The sequence below is a fragment of the Homo sapiens genome, chromosome 22 (genome assembly GCF_000001405.40).
Source record: "Homo sapiens chromosome 22, GRCh38.p14 Primary Assembly".
Lineage (NCBI taxonomy): Eukaryota > Metazoa > Chordata > Mammalia > Primates > Hominidae > Homo > Homo sapiens.
In genome coordinates, this window is record NC_000022.11 from 41,597,787 (window position 1) to 41,621,093 (window position 23,307).

The window sequence follows — 23,307 nt, forward strand, 5'->3', positions numbered from 1 at the left end:
AGCTGCACCAGCTGCAAGGTGACCTTGGGCAAGTGATATTCTCTCTGGGCCCTTCCCCCATCTTTATAAACCAGTGGTGAAATTCAGACATCCTTCCCTGTTATCACTTCTTATCTACAGGCTCACAACCATGCAAAGGAGACACATCCAGACCCCGCAGACTTAAGCTCCAAGGGACCCAAAAGCCTGGGGTCGCTTCATGTTGGATGCATGTGCAGACCTGATTCAGGCACCACACAAATGCAGCAGGCAGAAATGAGTTTATTGCATTAGAAAAAACACCGAAGAAAACCAGCAAACACCTCCGTACTAGACAGTTATTAGTTTGACTCAAGGGCATAAAGAAAACTCAGATACTAGATTTACTTCTGGGAGGGGGTGATGGTCTCATCCCTCCTCCTTCCCTATCCCTTTAAACCAATGGACCTCTAGAGGTGTCCACTGTGCAATACAAGTACGTGACTCATTTCCCACTGTGCTTGCCTGTTCACATCCAGGCGGAGTTAGCCGGCCACAATGAGAATGCTCCTGAGGTGCTGGGACAGACAGAAATATGAGGATGGGGGTAGGCAGTTGAAGCCTGAGCCTGAGTTTACAGTTAGTGACAGTGGGGCTCCCATTGGGAGGGAGAGCTTGCCTTCCCATGGAGCTCTGGGAAAACTGCTCAGTGATCCCTCGCTCTCTCCCCACAAACCCTAGGGCACAGGCAATGGCACAAATGGCTGCTAGTATAAAGGGGGGTGCTGTTCAAGGAAATGAGTGACTCAAATTCTCTCAGGGGAGCTGCTCCTGGGCCTAAGGGTGCCTGCTGGAAGAAGCAAACCAGCTGAAACTGGATCTGGAAGAGGAGAAAGGAAAAAAAGGAGCTGTGATGCCCAGAACCCCCTGGATGGAGGGGAGACCCCAGGCAGAGGGGTCTGGAGCAGGACCCTGGAAGACAGAGCCGGGCCAGGCAAGCTGGAAAAGGGAACAACACTGGTGGGAAACAGAGCACTGGCCAAGACCAACCTGCTACCCTCCCAGAAGAAACCCAGCCTCAGAAATTCTTTCTCTTTGGGCCCAATTCTGCTAGTAGATCACGATTATACAACAGTCCCTGCTAGTTTCTGCTCTAATCTATTATTTCCATGCACACTGGCAAATCAGTGGGTCTTGAGAAGAATTAAACTTTCAATCATTTGGCCTCTACAAGTTCCCAAATGTCACTTGACATCCCAGCTGGTCATGCCCCTGGTCAGGTCGCAGGCAAACACTAAGGCAGAATGACAGCTCCTCTAGCTGAGACTCTGATGATGCCAAACTGTGATGGCTGATGGCAAAGATAGCAGCAGATGGGGCCAGAAATGAGCAGCAGCTTTTTGGAGAGGAAAGGCCTGTGCTGCAGGCCAGACTTCCAGGAAGAAGCAACATAATTCAAGTCCGTGAAGTGGCAAGAAGTTGTGGCAGAAGGGGCCCAAGGATGTCAGACCTGAGACTCGGGTACCTGGCAGCTCTGAGTCCCTTCTTCATGCTCACTTTCCCAAAATCTAACTAATGGAGGTTCATGTGAAGAGAGGGAATCTGAAAGTCTCTCTGGATTAGAGACTCCCAGACTGTTCCCTGCCTATAACCTCCTAGCAGCAAGTCATTAGGAAAATGCCCACTCATGCCCCAACCTGCCTTTCTAAAGTCAGAATGACAATGGAAATAACGTGTGCCTTCAAAACACATTTAGGATAAGGGAAAGTCCCTATCAGAAACGATTCTAAATTTTCTTGCCACCTTGATTCCACTTCATTATTTTATTTTTTTGAGATGGAGTCTCACTCTGTCGCCCAGGCTGGAGTGCACTGGTACGATCTCGGCTCATCGCAATCTCTGCCTCCCGGGTTCAAGCGATTCTCCTGCCTCAGCCTCCCGAGTAGCTGGGACTACAGGCATGCGCCACCATGCCCGGCTAATTTTGTATTTTTAGTAGAGACGGGGTTTCACCATGTTGGCCAGGCTGGTCTTGAAGTCCTGACCTCAAGTGATCTGCCTGCCTCGGCCTCCCAAAGTGCTGGGATTACAGGCGTGAGCCACCGCGCCAGGCCTCACATCATTATTCTTTCCATATCAAAGGTATTTTCTGGCCAGGCAGCGGTGGCTCACGCCTGTAATCCCAGCACTTTGGGAGGCCAAGGGAGGTGGATCACCCGAGGTCAGGAGTTCCAGACCAGCCTGGCCAACATGGCAAAACCCTGTCTCTACTGAAAATACAAAAATTAGCCTGGCGTGGTGGCACGCACCTGTAATCCCAGCTACTCAGGAGGCTGAGGCAGGAGAACCACTTGAACCCGGGAGGCAGAGGTTTCTGTGAGCCGAGATCATGCCACTGCACACCAGCCTGGGTGGTAGAGCGAGACTCCGTCTCAAAAAATAATAATAATTAAAATAAAGGTATTTTCTTAGAGTAGGGAATCCCATCCCTTGGTCCCCAGCTAAATACTGCGTACTGGCCTGGATGGTGGTTACAGAGACTGCAAATAACCTACATCATTACTTGCAGAAAAAAGGCCTTGGCTTCTACTGCTCCAGCCCAGACCTCATCCACTATGACAAGTCAGCTATGCTGAGGAAAGGCAGCCTCGGGGGCACAAAGGCAGGTTTCCCAAAATTGATGGCAGAAGATTGGCAATCCATCTAGGTGGAAGGAGGAATGGCTTTATCCTGTTTTCTCCGGCCTGATACTTGCTGTTACTCCCTTGATCCGGAGGCAATGGCTGCTCCAGCACTGGCCTTGCTTGGGGTAAGGGAGGGAAGGTGAGGGTTGTGGCTAAAGAGTTCACTTAGGTTAGGTTAGTCATCCTGAAACCGGTCCCATGTACACCAAATCCTTTGGTTCATTTAACACTAGAGTAACTTTCTGGGTCACGGATGTTCTAAAACTCACCTGGGTCCCACAGGTGTTGGCAACTTGGGTAGAGCGTGAGTGTTCTCTGGAAAGAGTTCTAGGTTGGGGCTCCCGCAAACTGTGACTCGCTTTCTGTTTAAACAAAGCCCCTCCCTTTCTCCAGTGTGGAGGACGCTTAGGAAACAGCATCCGAAGTGAACGCACAGACAAGACAGCCTTAATAAATTAGTATAATACTATTAGAAGGGGTGGCATTTTGTTCTGTTTCTTAGCAGCATTGTCTACATGCGGCCTGACGGTCTCCTTCCCTGGGAAATTTAAAAAGCCGTCCCCTGGTTGTTAGCTCTGATGTAAAATTATAAAATAGAAATCTGGTAGGGTTTGTTTTGTTTAAAAAGGAAAAGCCCTGGTGAGGCAGGGCGGTCCCAGGCAGTCCTGTTAGCTCTGGCCGTTGGGTCTGCCCACGGAGCTCCCTCCTGGAGGCTGGATCTGAATGGAGTCCAGGAGGGGCCGAAGTGCCTGTCCAAAGGGCCTGCAAGGAAACAGAGACATGAGAGGGGTGGGCTCTGGGATGTGGCCTGCTGTCACACACCCTGTGCTGCCCACGGGTAGGGAGGAGGAGTGGGCGCTGGTGGCAGCAGAAGCAGCACCAGCAGAGAAGGAAAGAGCACCTCGTCACCTCACTTAAGTTTCCCACCTGCCTCACACACCAGTGTTCTTGGAGGGCATCTCCGAAATAGCCTGCTCTGTATTTTTATTCCTGGGGTTCCCTCCTCAGGGCCTCACCTCTAGAGCCTGGTTAGCTGTGGTTTGAGTAGGCTGGCTACATACAGAGAACTAGAACTTTCTGTGCTCTATGTGCTTGTGTCTTTAATTCTTGTGAGCAAGGAAAAGATCAAATTTAAGCAGGGAAACTGAGGCAAAAGAAGAAGGATATGAAAAAGAAGACAAAGGGGTGAGGACAGCAAACAACTGGATTTTTTTCAGGAACAGAGGTCTGCCAGGGAGTACAGGGAATATTCTGGAAAAATGACAAATGCTAGGTTGCCAGTATTAATGCCTTTCTTTCACCCCGAGACAGAGTCTACCTCTAGCCTAGAGCTGGAGTGCAATGGCGTGATCTCGGCTCACTGCAACCTCTGCCTCCCAGGTTCAAGCAATTCTCCTGCCTCAGCCTCCCAAGTAGCTGGGATTACAGGCGTGTGCCACTGCGCCTGGCTAATTTTTTATTTTCAGTAGAGATGGGGTTTCACCATGTTGGCCAGGCTGGTCTCGAACTCCTGACCTAGTGATTTGCCTGCCTCGGCCTCCCAAAGTGCTGGGATTACAGGCATAAGCCACTGGGCCCAGCCATTAATGCCTTTCTAAAGGGCTCCTAGGTTGCTCTCATAGTAACAGATGGAAAAAAAACTACAAATACTGGAGTTTGGAGATTTTCCATGATTACGACAACCATAAATAAGGTTGCCCAGAAACTTTTAAGTCACTGGCTTTTTCTTCAGTGGATACTGCCATTTTTGAAAATCATCTCCAAGTTTAAAGGAATGAAGTACTCCAAAGTATAGACAGATGAAACCTAGAAATATCAAACCTAATTCAGACAATTCCAGGAACTCCACCCATAAAATAATAACAGCAAGCACATTCTGGCTACTCCAGTTTGCTCAGGGCCCCATAACCTAGATCCCTCAGCAGAGCTGTGGGACTGCAAACTCATCGAATGATAGGAAGGCAGGGCCAGGGCTGGCGGACTGGGGCTCCTCACCAGCCTGCCACAGCAGTCTTGTTTCCTATGCAAGCTCTTCCTGGGAGGTGCTTCCTCAGATATAAAAAACAGCCCACCTTGCTGGGCCTGCGAAACCTGCCAGGATCTCTGTTAAATAAGGCCATAGTTCAGGAGAAACTGAGTCAGAATAAGCAAATAGACATGGTCCTGGAATGAGCAGAGGCTGCCTGAATGCAATCAACGACAAGAGGGAGGAGGTGAGATGGCTTTGGGGGTGTTGTGTCCTTTCGGGGTATACTGCCTGGATGATGGCCTGCAAGGCTCTTCCAAGGCTTGGGGCACATCAGGACAGAACGGGCTGCAGAGTGTTCTTGAAGAAAACATCTGTTGAAGACTGTGCTGTAATACATGAGGGCAAGTAGAACATAGTCGTTGAGGGAGTCAAAGAGTTCATGGTGCAGTGTAAGGCAAATCAACAGCTACAAAACAAGCCCCCCTACTATTTTTCTGACCCCCTCTCTGCTTGTCTAACATTGCATTTTAACTGGGTGCTTCTGGGGAGTGGCATGCTTCGAGCACAATGGGAAGGACAGACGCCAGAATTTTGTGCAAGTACTGAAGCCAGTGTCAAGTGGGTGTCTAAGTTCTGTGGTTGCACTTAGGCCAGGGCAGAGCTGGTCTAGCTCTGAAGGTGGAGGTAATACAGGTGCGCATCAGTGGGTGGAGAGAATGGCAGCCTTCTGTGTTAGAATCTGCCATCAGGGCAGGCCCACCTGGTTGGGAGGGCAGATGGGGGCCAGAGGAAGGGCACTGACCGTGAATGGGGATTTTCAAGGTTGGCCAAGGCAGGGGCAGGGACAGAGGCCACACTTACGTGGAGAGAACTTCAGAGGGCAGGTCTGTGATGTAAGAAGGAATCTTCCGCCCAGTCAGGAACTGTGCCACTTCGTTGCTGAAGGTGTTACAATTGTGTTCAAAGAGGTTGTAGGCCTCACCTCTGTACATTGAAAGGTTTGCAGAACATATATGAGAAACCAGCAAGCGTCTATGTGGAATAACTCAAGCTAGGCAGTGGAATGGTGAGCACAGCTCAATGTGAGGATTGCGATTTCCCCCGTCTCATACACCAGAAAAGCACTGCTTATTTGCCATTCTGGCCATTAATAACTGATTTTTAAGGGAAGGAGAAACTGAAAAGACATGGCTCCTACACAGTTTCAGGAGAATCTTTACATTCACGAAAGCAGAACTCTGGTGTTAAGAGTTTACCCCCTTACTGAAACTGACTAAAGCCTCTTTCAGAGAAAATCTGCTCAAGTTTGTATTTCATCCCAACCCTTCTGCAAACCCTGTTTTTCCTTCTGCAAACTTGGCCAATACAGGTTGAGAACAGCGCTTGCCGATTTTAATCAGAAGGAATGAAAAGCCCTTATTTCCTCTAAAAATTTCGGCAGAAAGTATGTTTGAAGGAATATCTGTATCAGAACAACTTAGAGCTTTTTGTAGCATAACTGCCTTTTCTTCATGTTAATTCAGCAAAAAACTGGGCCAGGCCTTGTGCTGAGTGATAAGGATGATATGACATGGCAGCTGCCTCCAGGGGTTATTATCTAGCTGGGGAGACAGACACAACTAACCACCACCCCTGTCTCCACTCACCGGAACAGGGACTCCCCCAGGGAGGAGAGGTACTCCAGAAAGATTTCTTCTGTGACTTCTGTACTCCCCACATCAACCACAGAGTCTGGAGGCCCAAGCAATGTCCCTCCCTAAAAGAGCCAACCCAAAGGAAGTCATTAAGTTACCATCTCCACTGAATGTTTTAATGTGGCTTCCCACAGTAGACCACAAACACTCTGTTCTGACTTTTTTTTTTTTTTTTTTTTTTTAGACGGAGTTTCTCTCGTCACCCAGGCTGGAGTATAATCTCAGCTCACTGCAACCTCCGCCTCCCGGGTTCAAGTGATCCTCCTGCCTCAGCCTCCCAAGTAGCTGAGATTACAGGTGCCTGCCACCATGCCCAGATAATTTTTTGTATTTTTAGTAGATACAGGGTTTCACCATGTTGGTCAGGCTGGTCTCAAACTCCTGACCTTAAGTGATCCACCCACCTCGGCCTTCCAAAGTGCTGAGATCACAGGTGTGAGCTACTGCGCCCAGCCTGACTTCATATTTAACTTGCAGAGCACCCTGGGCAGATGAAGAATGTGATTTGCTATTTGTATCAAGGATGCAATAGCTTAGAAGCATTGGTGTCCAATCCTTTGGCTTCCCTGAGGCACACTGGAAGAAGAATGGTCTTGGGCCACACACAAAATACACTAACACTAATGATAGCTGATGAGCTTAAAAAAAAAAAAAGATAAAAAAATCTCATGTTTTAAGAAACTTTACAAATTCACGTCAGGCCACTTTCAAAGCTGTCCTGGGCTGCGTATGGCCCACAGGCTGCAGGTTGGACAAGCTTGGCTTAGAGCTTTCTGGTCACTTTTCATTGCCATGTGCTGGCAGCATAGTTAGGAGTCGGACTTCTTGTTTCTAGAGGGGAGGGGGGGCCCTGGGAAGCTGATTCTCTTGCAGCTCTGACTCCTGATGCTGTCCACTTACTCAGCTGAGAAAGAGAAACCCAGAATCTGAAGTCTACTTTTGTCCCCAGTATGTCTCATCATGAGGACAGAACAGGACAACAGAAATGGCTCACACTTCACAGGCCATCTCTCCATGCCTATTTGCATAAAGTATGCAGCCAGTTTTTCTTATGATATACTTGATATCCCGTGTAATAATGGAAAAACGAGGACGGTGAGAAATCTGGCAGGCTGGCAGATATTTCCATAATTCAGTTCTTTTTGGATCTGTGAGCCTAATCCTTGCCCTATCACCATCATAGGGCAAGGGAGTTAATGGCTCCCGAAAGGCCTACAGAAAACCCTCAGCCATGTGGTTAACAGACTGCCAGAGAAAACTGAAGGAGAGACTGAGGTTGAGTGGGGAAACCAGCCACTGGGGAAGCAACGGGATCAGCAGGAGAACAAATCTGGGAAGGGATAACACTCCAGAACAGAGCTCCCTGAAAAGATCATTCATTCATAGCCACTGAGCACCTCCTACATAGCTGACATTGTTCTGGGCACTGAGGAAAGCATGGTGAGCAAGATAACCATGGTAGGCAGAGAACAATTATCTCAGAGTTGTAAGAAACTAAAAGGTCACTCTTTGACCCCTCTTATTCACTCATATAACAACTATGGATTGAGAACTTATTATGTGTCAGGCCTTATGCTAGGCACTGGGGCTGTGGTGTGGACAAAATAGATGAGATTCTTGCCGTTAAGAAGCTTAGTGTAGCAGGGAAGGGAAACTGAAAAATCCCCTTAACCAGTATATAATTATGAGCTGCAATTAAGGGGAGGCTGGAAAAGTACAGAATGCCAACAGTACGTATGACAGGAGACCTTCCCGGTCTGAGGGATCAGGGAAGACTTGCCTGAGAAAGTGACACAACTCAAATCTGAAGGATGGAGAGGCGTAACCAGGTGAAGGATCAAGAAGGTGTACTGATGTCAGAGTGCAGGTTTCAATGTCTACGGTGTGTTCAAAGAATGAGAAGAGAGTGAGGGTTGGGAGGGAACAACCTAAAAGAGGCTGGCCAGAGTCAGAGTCAGAGACCAGATCAGGTAGGTCCTGGGAGGCCATGCTGAGTTTTCTGGCTTTTATTCCAAAAGCAATGGGAGAATTCTGGCTTATGCAGTAGATTGCTTGAGCCCAGGAGTTTGAGATCAGTCTGGGCAACATAGGGAGATCCTATCTCTAAAAAAATAGAAAAAAATAGCAGGGCGTGGTGGTGCTGAGTCCTAGCCACTCAGGTGGCTCAAGTGGGAGGATTCATTGAGCCTGGGAGGTGGAGGCTGCAGTAAGCAAGACTGTGCCACTGCATTTCTGGCCTGGGTGACAGAGCAAGACCCCGTCTCAAAAAAAAAAAAAAAATCCTTCCTGTAGGATGTAGCAAAAACAAACAAACACACAACCAAAATGAATGGCTGCTTGGCCATTGCTTGAGCACCTACTGTGACAACACTTGGATAGCTGATAGAAATTTTTGGAAAAGGCTGGGCGCTGTGGCTCACGCCTGTAATCCCAGCACTTTGGGAGGCCGAGGTGGGCTAATCACGAGGTCAGAAGTTTGAGATCAGCCTGGCCAACATGCTGAAACACCGTATCTACTAAAATATACAAAAAATTAGCTGGGTGTAGTGGCAGGCACCTGTAATCCCAGCTACTCGGGAGGCTGAGGCAGGAGAATGGCGCGAACCCGGGAGGCGGAGCTTGCAGTGAGCCGAGATCGCACCACTGCACTTCAGTCTGGGCGACGGAGCGAGACTCCATCTCAAAAAAAAAAAAAAAAAAAAAAAAAAAAGAAATTTTCGGAAAAGGGTGTGGGCTTTAGTGTGATAATCCTGGGTTCTAGGACTGGTGTCCCTTATTGGCTGTTTAAGTTTGGGCAAGTCTTGATGCTTCTCAGAGCCCTCATCATTCAGCTTAACATCAGTTGCGTTCCTAGGATGAGCCGGACACTGTGCAGGGGATGGAGATGGAAGGTCTCAGCTCGCAAGGAGCTTACACAGTTCCCTGTGGAGAACCAGAAACAGCTCATTTCACCATAACATGCTCTCTGTGAGACAGAAGGACCCACACGTGCCATGGGAACAGAGAGGAGAGGAACTGGCTGGGGTGTCTGGGAAAGGTTTTATTGAGCCAAGTCTTCAGGTGGCTTTGAGGAACAATGCCAGAAGTCCATAGTAGAAGCAAAGCTCCTGGTCTACAGGAGCCCCCAGGAACCTGAGACTGCAGGACAGAGTGTAGGGGAAGACACTCACCGGGGGGCAGCTGGAGATACCACCACTGCCGAAGAAGAACTCATCCTTGTGCACAACTATGGATGTGTGCCTGTCACACAGAGAGAGACACAGTAAGCCAGAAAACTTAAACTTTTGAGAAAAAGCAAACACCATAATGCAATGAGAGTAATTTCTGCCCAAGGATAGGACTGTGGGGACCAGTCTTATAAAACCAACAAACCAAAGGTATGAATATGATAAATACCACAGATCAGGGCTTCTCAATCTTGGCACTATTGACATTTGAGGCTGGATACTTCTTTGTTGTGTGGGGCTGTCCTGTGCATTCTAGTCTGTTGAGCAGCGTCCCTGCCTCTATCCACAAGATGCCAGTAGCATCCTCCTCCCTGTATGACAACCAAAAATATCTCTGGACATGGCCAAATGTCCCAGGGTGAGAGAGCAAAAGAACTGATGAGAAGCACTGCTTTAGGGCTTGAAGATTTATAGCATGGAGAGCTAGGTTTCATGCTGGAAGCCACAGACTAGAACCTGAAATGCATAGAGTGCTGCCTTGTTTCAAAACTAGTCAAAGTAAGGAGACCCACCCAACTTACCAGATGCCTTCCAGTTGTTTCCCTGTGGAGAGAAGAAGAGATTTAGCCACTTGGGACTAGAATAAGTGGCCCCTCAGCCTTGGTAAATTCATGACATCACTCAAACCCAGGGTAACCTGTCATAAACCTCTTGAGGGACTTTCTAGGAATGCAAGTCCCCTCCAGTAAGGTCTTTAGGTTGTGACAGAGTGTAAGTAAGTTGAAAAGTAATGAGAGTCTTTTATCAGAATGCAAGATTAAAAACACTAGTATAAAGGTACCCCAGTTTTATGTCTGCTATTCTTTCCTCTTTGGGGTCAATTCAGCTATGCCTTTTTAACTTCTCTGTCTCACGTACAGTAAGACTATAGTAATACAATGAATGTTATTACTCATTTCTTCATTGAGGTGAAATCCTTCAGAAACTGATAGGATAAAACTTTGCAAATGCTATCCATTTAAATAGTTAAAGCACGTTATTCTACCTCTATGTGCCAGAAACAATGTTAGGTGTGGAAATGCAAACAGGAACGTATCACTTTCCTGCCCTTGAGAAGCTCAAAGTCAAATGGACTGAGACACACAAATAATTAACTAAAACACAATGTTAATATGCTGTATCATAGTGGTAAAAATAAGGTACTAAATATAATAAACTACTTTTGTGAGCTTCCATTACCAATGACAAGTAAGGGCAGGGATGGACATTTCTGTGGGAGAGAACAAGATGTGCACATGCATGGCTGTGAAGTCTAAAGCCTGCAGGGCAGAGTGAAGGGGGCAGTGATGGTGCCAAGGGGAGGAGCGGCCAACAGGATGGCCAGCAAAGCGGGCAGGCCTGGACTCAAAGAGGCTGTGAGGCTGGAGAGTGCCTTGATCAGATCCATGTTCGGAAAAGATAACTGTAGTTGTGGGATAGCAGATGAATTGGAGGGAAGAGAGCAGACCAAGCAGACCATCACAAGAGTCCATGAGAGATACTCTACAGCAGTGCTCAGGAGGCAGAGGAAGGGCATTGAAAGACGTGGAGTGTCAGCAAACATCACCCACTCACTCCTGCTTATCACTTCACACGGCGACATGGCAGATTACTGATTGCTAACTGCTACCTTCGCTGTTTGCCCTGTGCCTTTCTTTTTTTTAGAGGCAGAGTCTCTCTGTTGCCCAGGCTGGAGTGAAGTGACGTGATCTCGGCTCATTGCAACCTCTGCCCCCCGGGTTCAAGTGATTCTCATGCCTCAGCCTCCCAAGTAGCTGGGATTACAGGCATGCACCACCAAGCCCGGCTGATTTTTGTATTTTTAGTAGAGACAGGATTTTGCCATGTCGGCCAGGCTGGTCTCGAACTCCTCGCCTCAAGTGATCCACCTGCCTCAGCCTCCCAAAGTGCTAGGATTACAGGCATGAGCCACCACACACTTGGCATAGCATCCTCAGAGATAGTTAAGGGGACCATATGGGTTCAGATCCTGGATTTTCCACTTCCTAGTGGTGGATCTTGGGCAAGTTTACCCAGCCTGTTTAAGTCTGTTTCTCCAGTTCAGAGTTGCTGTGACTGGTAATGTTAATGTATAGAAAGCTTCACAGTATGTGATATACAGATGTCTGATAAATGGAGGCTCTTATTAGGTACAATGACCTCCTTGGGGAAAAGGGTAAAGACTTCCAGAAGATAAAAATAAATTCTACTTCAGACATGTCACAGTGGCCCACCCCTGTAATCCCAGCACTTTGGGAGGCCGAGGCAGGCAGATTACTTGAAGCCAGGAGTTCAAGACCAGCCTGGCCAACAGAGAAACCCAGTCTTTACTAAAAATAAAAATAAAAAAACTCTCTGGGTGTGGTGGCATGCACCTGTAGTCCCAGCTACTCAGGAGGCTGAGGCACGAGAATTGCTTGAACTTGGGAGGCAGTGAGCCGAGATTGCGCCACTGTACTCTAGCCTGGGCAACAGAGTGAGACCCTGTCTCAAATAAAACAAAAAATAGGCCAGGTGTGGTGGCTCACACCTGTAATCCCAGCACTTTGGGAGGCCGAGGCGGGCAGATCACATGAGGTCAGGAGTTCGAGACCAGCCTGGTCAACAACCCCGTTTCTACTAAAAACACAAAATTAGCCGGGCATGGTAGTGCATGCCTATAGTCCCAGCTACTCGGGAGGCTGAGGCAGGAGAATCGCCTGAACCCAGGAGGCAGAGGTTGCAGTGAGCCGAGATTGCGCCATTGCACTCCAGCCTGGGCAACAAGAGCAAAACTCTATCTTAAAAAAAAAAAAAAAAAAAGACAAGGTACGGTGGCTCACGCCTGTAATCCCAGCACTTTGGGAGGCCGAGGCAGGCGGATCACAGGTCAGGAGTTCAAGATTAGCCTGACCAACATGGTGAAACCCTGTCTCTACTAAAAATACAAAAATTAGCTGGGCATGGTGGCAGGCACCTGTAATCCCAGCTACTCGGGAAGCTGAGGCAGGAAAATCGTTTGAACCTGGGAGGTGGAGGTTGCAGTGAGCCGAGATCGTGCCACTACTGTACTCCAGCCTGGGCAACAGGGTGAGACTCTGTCTCAAAAAAAAAAAAAATTCTACTTCAGTATTGGTAAGTAAAATCTAAGAACAGATTTCAACATCCAGCAAATTAATATGAAATGCTATATCTATTTTACATGTAAAATTCCATTCTTTGCTGTTAGTGTTCCCAGGCTAAATGGAATAACAAGAAAATGAAATGTAGCGGAGTACTTCTGCCTCTGTTCCAATTCCAGAGATCAGTCTGCTTTTCACCAAGAGATCTGCTGCTCTGGCCCGGAAGACCACAAGTGGGCCGGGCGTGGTGGATCACCTGAGGTCAGGAGTTTGAGATCAGCCTGGCCAACATGATGAAACCCCGTCTCTACTAAAAATACAAAAATTAGCTGGGCGTGGTGGCAGGCGCCTGTAATCCCAGCTACTTGGGAGGCTGAGGCAGAAGAATCACTTGAACCCAGGAGGCGGAGGTTGCGACGAGCTGAGATGGCGCCATTGTACTCCAGCCTGGGTGAAAAGAGCGAAACTCTGTCTCAAAAAAAAAAAAAAGACCACAAGTGGATAGAGGGATCCTAGCCAGGGGTTTCTGGGGATAGCACCCTAAAGAATGTGAGGCAGGTTCTGACCTTATCCAAACTGAGGTGAAATTTCACAGTGGTTGATGAGAACCAGACTGGATGCCAAAGGGGAGTGGTAATCCATTTAGGACGAGCATCTTCAAACCCTGGGTTCCACTGGGCTATAAGATACTAAATCTCCTCTTTCCTGTTTACTATATGTAAAATGGGGAGACTAACATTCCTTTTTTTGAGACAGAGTCTCACTCTATTGCCTAGGTTGGAGTGCAGTGGCACGATCTTGGCTCACTGCAACCTCCGCCTCCTGGGCTCAAGCAATTCTGGTGCCTCAGACTCCCAAGTACAGGCTGGGATTACAGGTGTGCGCCACCATGCCCAGCTAATTTCTGTATTTTTAGTAGAGATTGGGTTTCACCATGTTGCCCAGGCTGGTCTCGAACTCCTGACCTCAGGAGATCTGCCCTCCTCAGCCTCCCAAAGTACTGGGATTACAGGTGTGAGCCACTCTATGTGGCCTAACACTGCATTTTAAATAGAGCTGATGTGCCCTTCTGAACTGTCATTTATAAATCAGCTGTTTAAATGGCTGCAATTTGTTTATTTACGTGAAGACATTTAATAGTTCAGTGAAACTGGAGAAATTAAGGATACCTGCTTTCTCTTACCTGTTCCTTCTTTTTTTTTTTTTTTTTTTTTGAGACAGTCTCACTCTGTTGCCCAGGCTGGAGTACGATGGTGTGATCTTGGCTGACTGTAACCTCCGCCTCCCAGGTTCAAGTGATTCTCCTGCCTCAGCCTCCTAAGTAGCTGGGACTACAGGCGCTCACCACCACGCCTGGCTAATTTTTCTATTTTTAGTAGATATGGGGTTTCACCATGTTGGCCAGGCTGGTCTTAAACTCCTGACCTCGTGATCCGCCCGCCTCGGCCTCCCAAAGTGCTGGGATTACAGGCGTGAGCTACCGCGCCTGGCCCCTGTTCCTTTCAAATGAAGCTTTTCTCATTTACTTTGTGAGGAATGCTACGCTTACAAGGAGGAAGTACAATATAGTGAATAAGAACACAGGTTCTGGTGTAGACAGGTTGGGTGTGAATCCTACTGGCTTAAACGGTGAACTAATGGTTTATTGAGTGACTACTACCTTCCAGGCACTATCCTTGGCACTAAGGATACATCAGTAAACAAAAACCTCCTTCATGACACTTACTAGGTGGGGGGAGGGGACAGTCAATAATAATAATGATGATAATAAGTCATAACATGTTAGCAATAGTGAATGGTATAGAACGAACAAGAGTAGGTTAAGGGGGTCTGGGCGTAGTGGCTCACGCCTGTAATCCGAGCGCTTTGGGAGGCAGAGGCGGGCGGATCACCTGAGGTCAGGAGTTCGAGACCAGCCTGGCCAACATGGTGAAACCCCATCTCTACTAAAAGTACAAAAATTAGCCAGGCATGGTGGCACACACCTGTAATTCTAGCTACTCGGGAGGCTGAGACAGAAGAATCACTTGAACCCGGGAGGTGTTGCAGTGAGCTGCGATTGCACCACTGCACTCCAGCCTGGGCGACAAGAACAAAACTCTTGTCTCAAAAAAAGAAAAAAAAAAAAAAGAGTAGGTTAAGGGAGTTTCAGGGATGATCAGGGTGGGCCTCTTTGAGAATGTGATATTTGAGTGAAGATTTTTTTTTTTTTTTTGAGACAGGGTCTTGCTCTGCTACTCAGGGTGGAGTGCAGTAACGCGATCAAAGCTCACTGCAGCCTTGACCTCCCAGGCTCAAGTGATCCTCCCACTTCAGCTTCCCAGTTGCTGAGACTATATGTGTACCACCCAGGCCTACTTTTTTTTTTTTTTTTTTGAGACGGCGTCTCCCTATGTTGTCAAGCCTGGACTTGAACTACTGGGCTCAAGTGATCCTCCCACCTCCAGGCGTGAGCCACCAGGCCCAGCTTTGAGCCAAGATTTAAAGGAGGCAAGGGAAAGAGGGATGCAGGGGCAATGACATGCCAGGTTTATCTGAAGGCCTGTAAGGAGGCCAGTGAAGTTAGAATGGGTGAGGAGGGGAAGTAGAAGATGACCAGAGGTAATGGAGGACCAGATCACAGAGAACACTGCAGAGGCTGAGAACACTAAGCCTGAGCTGTCCAATATGGTGACCACTGACCACATGTGGCTATTTAAGTTAAATAAATGCACAAATTCAGTCCCTCAGTTCCACTAACCACATTTTAGGTATTCAATAGCCACATGTGACTAGTGTTTACTTACTGGACAGTGCAGATCTAGAACATTTCCATCACTGCAGAAAGTTCTATTGGACGCACTGTTTAAACTATAGTTTCCTATTCTGTAAAAAAAAGCATAATAACACTGCCTGCCTCATAACATTTCCAGGATTAAAAGAGACGATACATGACACATGCGTAGCACAGGGTCTGGGACATAATACATGCCCAATAAAGGCTAACTCATTTCTTCTAGGGTTTATAATTTGAAAGTTTTATAGTTGTTCTCATAGTACCCTGGTATTGAAACTATTCACGTGTCCTTCTCCCCAGTTAGACTACAGTTGCCTCAGTAACCAGGACAGTTTCTTATGTATCTTTATAACTCCAGCACCTAGCAAAGGACCTGGTCCTGAGATGTGACATGAACATCTGTTGAGATGAGCTGTTCTGTTTAGTTAGCTTTGTTGGTTGACACACAGTGCTATTGAGGACAAAGTTCCTAACCCCAATCTGGGCTGCCTGGCTTGTTATTGCAATGACTCTGCCACCCTGGCATACTGCACTCCCAGTCTACTGCTGTCTTCTCAGATGCGCATGCTCACTGACTCAGGAGTACAGCTGGCAGGTATGGATGTATCATCAGCTCAAACCCATTCCTACTAAACAGATTTTTGAAGAGGGGCCTCAGTTATTTCACACCTGAAAAACAACTCAAAAGTTGCAGGATACAAACCCTACTTTATTCTCCTTTATATCCTTTGTATCATCACTGAATTTGCCTGTAAGCTACACGCCACACTTCCTATTCAACTGCATCAAGGTACACTTAGGATCTCATCCATTCATAGAGTGGAGATAGGGACTATAGAAAAAAGATCCCCTTATTTATTCATTCTTTCTTTTTTTTTTTAAGACGGAGTCTCGCTCTGTTGTCCAGGCTGGGGTGCAGCGGTGCAATCATGGCTCACTACAACCCCCGCCTCCCGGGTTCAAGCAATTCTCCTGCCTCAGCCTCCCGAGTAGCTGGGATTACAGGAGCTCGCCACCATGCCCGGCTAATTTTTTGTATTTTTAGTAGAGACGGGGTTTCTCCATGCTGGCCAGGCTGGTCTCAAACTCCTGACCTTGTGATCTACCCGCCTCGGTCTCCCAAAGTGCAGGGATTACAGGGGTTAACCACTGCACCCAGCCTGTTCATTCTTTCACTTATTCATTCATCCACCAAACACTTGGAGCCAACAATAACATTAAAAATGAATTGAGTGAATTTACATCCTTTCTTTTTTCCTTTTGAGACAGAGTCTCACTTTGTTTCCCAGGCTGGAGTGCAGTGGCGTGATCTCGGCTCACTGCAACCTCCGTCTCCGGGGTTCAAGTGATTCTTCTGCCTCAGCCTCCCAAGTAGCTGGGATTATAGGTGTGAGCTACTGTGCCCGGCCTACATCCTTTTTTTTTTTTGAGATGGAGTCTCACTCTATCACCCAGGCTGAAGTGCAGTGGCATGATCTCGGCTCACTGCAACCTCTGCCCTCCGAGTTCAAGCGATTCTCCTGCCTCAGCTTCCCGAGTAGCTGGGATTACAGGCATGCGCCACCGTGCCCAGTTAATTTTTGTATTTTTAGTAGAGATGGGGTTTCACTATCTTGGCCAGGCTGGTCTTAAACTCCTGACCTCAGGTGATCCACCCGCCTTGGCCTCCCAGAGTGCTGGGATTACAGGCATAAGCCACCTCACCCCACCTTGTTTTCTTCTTCTTTTTTTTTTTTTTAACAAAAAAGTTCCTTTTCACCTGTTTTCCACATGCATATCTGCAGAAGATTTCATTTCAAGGAAGAGTTTCACAGCTAAAGAGCATTTGAAAACCACTGGTCAGGCCACATGCAGTGGCTCACGCCTGTAATCCCAGCACTTTTGGAGGCTGAGGCGGGCGGATCACGAGGTCAGGAGATCAAGTCCATCCTGGCTAACATGGTGAAACCCCGTCTCTTCTAAAAAAAAATACAGGCCGGGCGCGGTGGCTCAAGCCTGTAATCCCAGCACTTCGGGAGGCCGAGGCGGGAGGATCACGAGGTCAGGAGATCGAGACCATCCCGGCTAACACGGTGAAACCCCGTCTCTACTAAAAATTAAAAAAAAAAAAAAAAAAAAAAAATTAGCCAGGCACGGTGGCGGGCGCCTGTAATCCCAGCTACTCAGCAGGCTGAGGCAGGAGAATGGCATGAACCTGGGAGGCACGCGCCACTGCACTCCAGCCTGGGCACACAACAAGACTCTGTCTCAAAAAAAAAAAGAAAATTTAAAAAAGCAGAATCACGCAGGGCCTTGTAAGCCATATTCCTTTCCATTTTGCCTTAAAGAAATTGAATGATTATTAAATTAATTCATTAGATGAGTATAAAACAGTTCACACAGTGAACAAAAATCAAAAACAAAGCACAATAGATGGCATTAAAACAGAAAAAACCTCTCTCAGATTTGAATAAATTTTACTTAATCTTCAAGCTTAAGTTCAAGTCTCAATCATTTCTATAATCAATACTTACTGAACACCTGCTCCAACAGGCCACTGGGGACATATAGGAAGGGGACAGAGTCCTTGCCCTCCAGGAGCTCCAGGCTCTTGCCAAAGCCTCTCTGACATGCTCAGCTCACCATGGCCTCTCTTATTTCAAAGCCTAACATAGTTCATGCACCACTCACTCACTTTGGCACCTAATCATAATCTGTTTTATATTGTTATCAAATGTTATATGTGTACATTCATTATTTAAAGGAAAATAATATTTTAAGAAAAACTCCTGGGCTGGGCATGGTGACTCATGCCTTACTTTGGGAGGGGGGTTTGTTCAGCATTTTGGGAAGCTAAGGTGGGTGGATCGCCTGAGATCAGGAGTTTGAGACCAGCCTGACCAACATGGTGGAACCCAGTCTCTATTAAAAATAGAAAAATTAGCTGGACATGGTGGCACATGTCTGTAATCCCAGCTCCTTGGGAGGCTGAGGCAGGAGAACTGCCTGAACCCAGGAGGCGGAGGTTGCAGTGAGCCGAGATCGTGTCATTACACTCCAGCCTGGGCAACAAGAGTGAAACTCTGCCTCAAAAAAAGAAAAATTCCTGGAGGACAGAGTTCACGTCATATCTTTTATTTCATTACTATTTGTACTACAAAATGAAGTAAAGAATTGAGTATAGTGTAAAATCTCTAATATTCATTAGAATTCATTCTGCCAAGCAATTTATATATTCTATGTCTCCAAATCTTTAAGTCTGAAAACAGTTTTGAAATGGGCTTGTAAAGAAAAATAAACGTGATGCATGTACACGAAACTTCTGATCAGAAAATAATAAACAAATATGAAGTACTTCTTACCACAATTAAAACACACACACACACACACACACACACACACACACACACACACTTCTGCATGTACTGTGGCACAAAAAGAGGTCAAGAAACTTAAAGAGCAGCCAAAATTATTAAGAGGAGGAACTGAAGGACACTTATAATAGCTAATTATTTTAGGCAATTGGTGACTATGAAAAAAGGTGCAATGAGGCTATCTGCTCAATTAGAATGCTGAAGATAATTTTGGGACCATTTTTCATAGTGAATGAAAAGCTATAGAACAGTAATGCCTTCACTTGAGGCAATTCCAGGAGGCTGAAAACAGGACAGGCTAAAACTACGGAATTTACATTGCTTCAGGAAAGGGGAATTACCTTGGGCTTTATCTAGTCTAATCCTGAACTGCGACAGAGCTAGATGAGGTCTCCCATTGGAGAACTGACATAACTGAAGCCTGAGAGGGTACTGCAGATGAGATCACATGGATTTAATTTGGGAAAATGGAGACTAAGAGGCATGATCATAAATCTAGATTGTAAGTGGCACATACACATTGAACCCAGCTTTTTTTCTCATCCAAACTTGAAACATTTGGCAAAGGATGCCTTTACAAACTTCAGGAAGGCATCTACTTTACTTCAATTTTAAAGGAACGTATTACACAGAGGTGGTATCTCAAAATGACAGAGAACGCGAGCTCTGGAAGTCAGACTGCCTGTGTTCATAACCCAGCTCTACCACCTAGTAGCTCTGGGACCTGGGGCAAATTCCTTAACACTCTACTTCTCAGGTTCTTCAATCAAGAAAATGGAGGCAATAACAGGACTTATCTCACAAAGTTGTGGTGAGGATTATAATGCACGCAAAGTACTCAGAAAAAAAGGGTCTGACACATGGTAAGCTCTCAATAAATAGTGGCTATTAATATACTTCTAGAATTCATCATAAAAATCAGGAAACAAATTGATTTTTTAAAGGTTCAAATGTATTTAGGAATGGGAAATCAATATATGGCTACTTATAGCACTGGGACATACCCAACTTCAAGATTTGTGTTGTCTGAATGGGATGAATCAGTAAGACCATGCCTATTTTCCTTAAGTGTTCAACTCTAGAAAGTAATGACTACTAGCTTTGCTAATTCTTTCTTCATTAATTTTGCAAAAGGTATAAAAGCAATATGGAAAAAAGAGGTAGAGAAGACAGAAGTAGATTAGCACACAAGGTGATTTCCTCAGATCAGAATCTGATGTGCCCAATGAATGGGTGATGTTCCCATGTTTGGCTGAGGCATTCCAGGACTTTACATCTATATAAAAGGGCGGGGAGTGGGAAGGGGGCAGGTCTATTACTCCATCTTCAGTTACAGCACTTTCCCCTTCACCCACTACACTCCACAAAAGCCTTCTTTCAGTTCCAGTATCAGGCCAGACTCTTTCCTGTCTCAGGGCTTTGGCAGGTTGATCTTTCTCCTACCTGGAACACTGTTACTCCCTTACTACCCTCCTGTGGCTACTTCTTCCTCATCCTAAATTCCCACTTTCAAAGTCACTACCCTTGATACCCTTATTTAAAATAGGTCTCTTCACTGGGTGCAGTGGCTCATGCCTGTAATCCTAGCACTTTGGGAGGCTGAGGCGGGCGGATCACTTGAGGTCAGGAGTTCAAGACCAGCCTGGCAAACATGGTGAAACCCTGTCTCTACTAAAAATATAAAAATCAGCCAGGTGTGGTGGCATGCGCCTGTAATCCCAGCTACTCTGGAGGCTGAGGCAGGAGAATCACTTGAACCTGGGAGGCAGAGGTTGCAGTGAGCTGAGATCACCCCACTGCACTCCAGCCTGGGCAACAGAGCAAGACTCGTCTAAAAAAAAAAAAAAGGTCTCTCTTGTTATTTTCTATCACAGCACCCAGTGTGCTTCCTGTGCAGAAGGCACTTATGCAATTTGTAACTAATTATTTATGTATTTATTTTTAATGTCTCCCCCATTAGATAGCTCCATGATGGCAAAGAACATCTTTGTTCATTATATCAACCTCATTTACCTTAACACGTTGACTAGCATAGAGCAGACGCTCAATAAACATCTGCTGAATGAATGAAATAATGACTCCTAAGGCTCCTTTCAGCTGCCCAATAATTATTAGGTAATAGGATAAAAAATACCCAGTGTAAAGGGGGAGGTTTTACGTGGGGTATAGGAAATATCTGATTCCTCACTATGATAAAAAAACAAACAACTAAATGGCTCCATTCCAAGAAGTTTAGTTAAAACTTGACTGATGTGGGCTGGGCATGGTGGCTGACGCCTGTAATCCCAGCACGTTGGGAGGCCAAGGCAGGCGGATCACAAGGTGAGGAGATCGAGACCATCCTGGCTAACACAGTGAAACCCCGTCTATACTAAAAATACAAAAAATTAGCCGGCTGTGGTGGCGGGCGCCTGTAGTCCCAGCTACTCGGGAGGCTGAGGCAGGAGAATGGCGTGAACCCGGGAGGCGGAGCTTGCAGTGAGCCTAGATCGTGCCACTGCACTCCAGCATGGGTGACAGAGCGAGACTCCGTCTCAAAAAAAAAAACCAACAAAAAAAAAACACTTGACTGATGTAATCTATTAATGAGTAACAGCTTCCTCAGTGACTTTGTAAGTTTTGCTTTCAGATGTGCCTCAATCATTTTAACAACTGGTTATCTAGGCCCAAATCCCTGTCAAATAATGGGTTGGCTACATAAGAATTAGCTGATAAGCTCATTAAAAATACAGATTTTTGGACCAAAACTCCAGGAGATTCTGATTTAGTATTTGTGAAGCCTTAGAATCCATATAATTAAAATTTTCTCATTTTAAATAGATATTATGTGTATGTAATACACAGGTCCAGAGGTAAGAAACAGTTTACAGCAAAGTTTCTCTTCTACCCCTGTTCCCCTGGCATCAAGTTCCCCTTTCCATAAGCTACTGCTGTTATCAATTTCTTGTGTATCCTTACGGATAATTATTTGCCTAAGCAAGCACATATATATCCTTTGATTTGCATATTTAAAGAGCTATTCTAACCTTGTTTTTTCTAATCTCATTTACAATATATGTTGGAAATGAGGGTATCTGCATTTTTAACAAGCACCCTAGATGATTTTGATGTGAAGCCAAATATAGAAACAACTCATGGACCCACGGTTGTGAGATTAAGTTCAATTCACTACGACATATTAGAAACTCAAGGACATTGAAGGATGCCCTCAAAAGTAGCCTCCCTTACTTGATCTCTGCCCCCTCGTCTCACAGAGATGAACTAAATCATTCGCCAGTGTCTCCACAGAAGCCAGGAAAAACTAGCCATTCAAATGGATGCTGTCAAAGCTTCAATTTTCAATAATTGGAATTCTTTCCTGCTCATTGTTACCCGAAATTACAAACCTGACAATTCCTGTGTTACACAAGACATTCCTGTATTTAAGTTGAAATAAGGTGTGATCGTCACTGAATGAGGGCTGGTTTTTCTCCTGCCAGTTAAGTAGTTTAATGGAGCACAACCGAAATACTTTCTTTACTAATCCTTATTCACACAGCCTCATCCAAACTTCCCCCAAAACTGCTTTCTTGCCATTTGAGCAAAAGCAATTAACTTAGAAACTGTGGGGAGAAGACTGCTTGGTGAATTCTGGAGTTCGGGGCTCCTCTTATCCTGACTTGACCTACCTGGGGGCGATGGCTGGGTCCCTAGGCAGCTCTATCTCCCCCATCCCACCTATCCCTGGGACTGCAAAGGGAGCTTCCTTTTGGCACTGAGACAAGGTTCTCCGAGAGCCACCCGACCTCCGCAGTGTCTCTGTCACCACGAGGGGCACCGCGCGGCAGGCATCCTCACCTTTCCTACACCGCGCCAAGGAGGCAGGAGTGCACTGGGCTACCCGAGCGAGGCAGAGAACCCGCCGGGATCCAGCGCTGGTTTACCCCACACCCTCGTCGAAGGGGCTCTCGAGGGCTCGGTTTCTGCCCAAGCCCCCTGCAAGGTGGAGGCATGACTCCTCCATCCCTTCCCCTTGAATTCAAACGTGAGGATGGTATCTGCGAGGCTAAAGCGGGGCTCAGATGGCCCAAACTTCAGACCACTCTCTTCTCCACTCGGCTTTTCTTCCATCCTCCTGGCCATGTGTCTCCCCGTGAGTCGTGGCCCAAGTCTCCCCACCTCGGCCAGCCGCCACCCTCTGGCCTGGCTCCCGCCCTCCTGCCCACCTGGCCCCTTCCCCCTCACCCAGCATGATGGGGCTGAGCCGCCGGGCCAGGCCTTTGGACAGGTCGTACACGTAGAGCTTCACCGGATAGAGATTCGGCGGCTCCATTGGGACCCGTGGCGACGGCGGCCACGACGGCCCTCGGGCACCCGGCAGCGGCTTGGACCTTCCCGTACCCGACGGGAGTGCGAAGCGGAGGGAGAGGGGGGGACCGAGCCCGGGCCCGGGCTGAGGGGTGGGGGAGAGGCCGCCCTGCGCTGCTCGCGCCCCCACACCCGCTACCGGCAACGACTACTGTGAGGTGACAGAGAGGGGACAGGGAGGGCCCACACGGAAGAGGGGGCGGGGGCAGGGATGCACTT

The 23,307-nt window shown here is 47.0% G+C and overlaps 1 protein-coding gene across 2 annotated transcripts, besides 5 other annotated features; it reads right to left on the bottom strand.

Annotated features, from left to right (window-relative positions):
• Positions 1 to 241: 241 nt before the first annotated feature.
• Positions 242 to 23,257, bottom strand: DESI1 (desumoylating isopeptidase 1). 2 transcript variants are annotated; one of them, XM_047441335.1, is made up of 7 exons: positions 22,966 to 23,257; positions 10,054 to 10,075; positions 9,702 to 9,843; positions 9,476 to 9,545; positions 6,258 to 6,367; positions 5,473 to 5,595; positions 242 to 3,404 (listed from the first exon to the last, which is right to left on the bottom strand). In XM_047441335.1, exons 3-7 carry the CDS (start codon positions 9,737 to 9,739, stop codon positions 3,311 to 3,313), a joined length of 435 nt encoding a protein of 144 aa, XP_047297291.1. In that variant the 5' UTR covers positions 9,740 to 9,843; positions 10,054 to 10,075; positions 22,966 to 23,257; the 3' UTR covers positions 242 to 3,310. The 2 variants fall into 2 exon arrangements, with proteins under 2 accessions (XP_047297291.1, NP_056519.1); NM_015704.3 differs by lacking the exon at positions 9,702 to 9,843.
• Positions 21,263 to 21,332: an enhancer, noted in NCBI's record as "active region_19123". NCBI's record gives its function as "activates an Ori minimal core promoter by ATAC-STARR-seq in GM12878 lymphoblastoid cells {active_cell/tissue: GM12878}" and the evidence as "EXISTENCE:reporter gene assay evidence [ECO:0000049][PMID:35858748]".
• Positions 21,343 to 21,402: an enhancer, noted in NCBI's record as "active region_19124". NCBI's record gives its function as "activates an Ori minimal core promoter by ATAC-STARR-seq in GM12878 lymphoblastoid cells {active_cell/tissue: GM12878}" and the evidence as "EXISTENCE:reporter gene assay evidence [ECO:0000049][PMID:35858748]".
• Positions 22,675 to 23,276: an enhancer, noted in NCBI's record as "NANOG-H3K27ac-H3K4me1 hESC enhancer chr22:42016465-42017066 (GRCh37/hg19 assembly coordinates)". NCBI's record gives its function as "activates a minimal SCP1, AML or CMV promoter by ChIP-STARR-seq in naive H9 embryonic stem cells {active_cell/tissue: H9 hESC(naive)}" and the evidence as "EXISTENCE:reporter gene assay evidence [ECO:0000049][PMID:30033119]".
• Positions 22,675 to 23,277: a biological region, named in NCBI's record as "NANOG-H3K27ac-H3K4me1 hESC enhancer GRCh37_chr22:42016465-42017066".
• Positions 23,008 to 23,277: a silencer, noted in NCBI's record as "silent region_13795". NCBI's record gives its function as "represses an Ori minimal core promoter by ATAC-STARR-seq in GM12878 lymphoblastoid cells {active_cell/tissue: GM12878}" and the evidence as "EXISTENCE:reporter gene assay evidence [ECO:0000049][PMID:35858748]".

Excerpts from the sequence above, each read along its gene's own strand:
- DESI1 (NM_015704.3), bottom strand. The coding sequence starts at position 23,053 with ATGGAGCCGCCGAATCTCTATCCGGTGAAGCTCTACGTGTACGACCTG. Across the intron at positions 10,076-22,965 it reads GCTCAGCCCCATCATGCTGG|GGAAACAACTGGAAGGCATC; the intron begins GTGAGGGGGAAG and ends TTCTCTCCACAG. Across the intron at positions 3,405-5,472 it reads CCCTCTGAAGTTCTCTCCAC|GCCCTTTGGACAGGCACTTC; the intron begins GTAAGTGTGGCC and ends GTTTCCTTGCAG.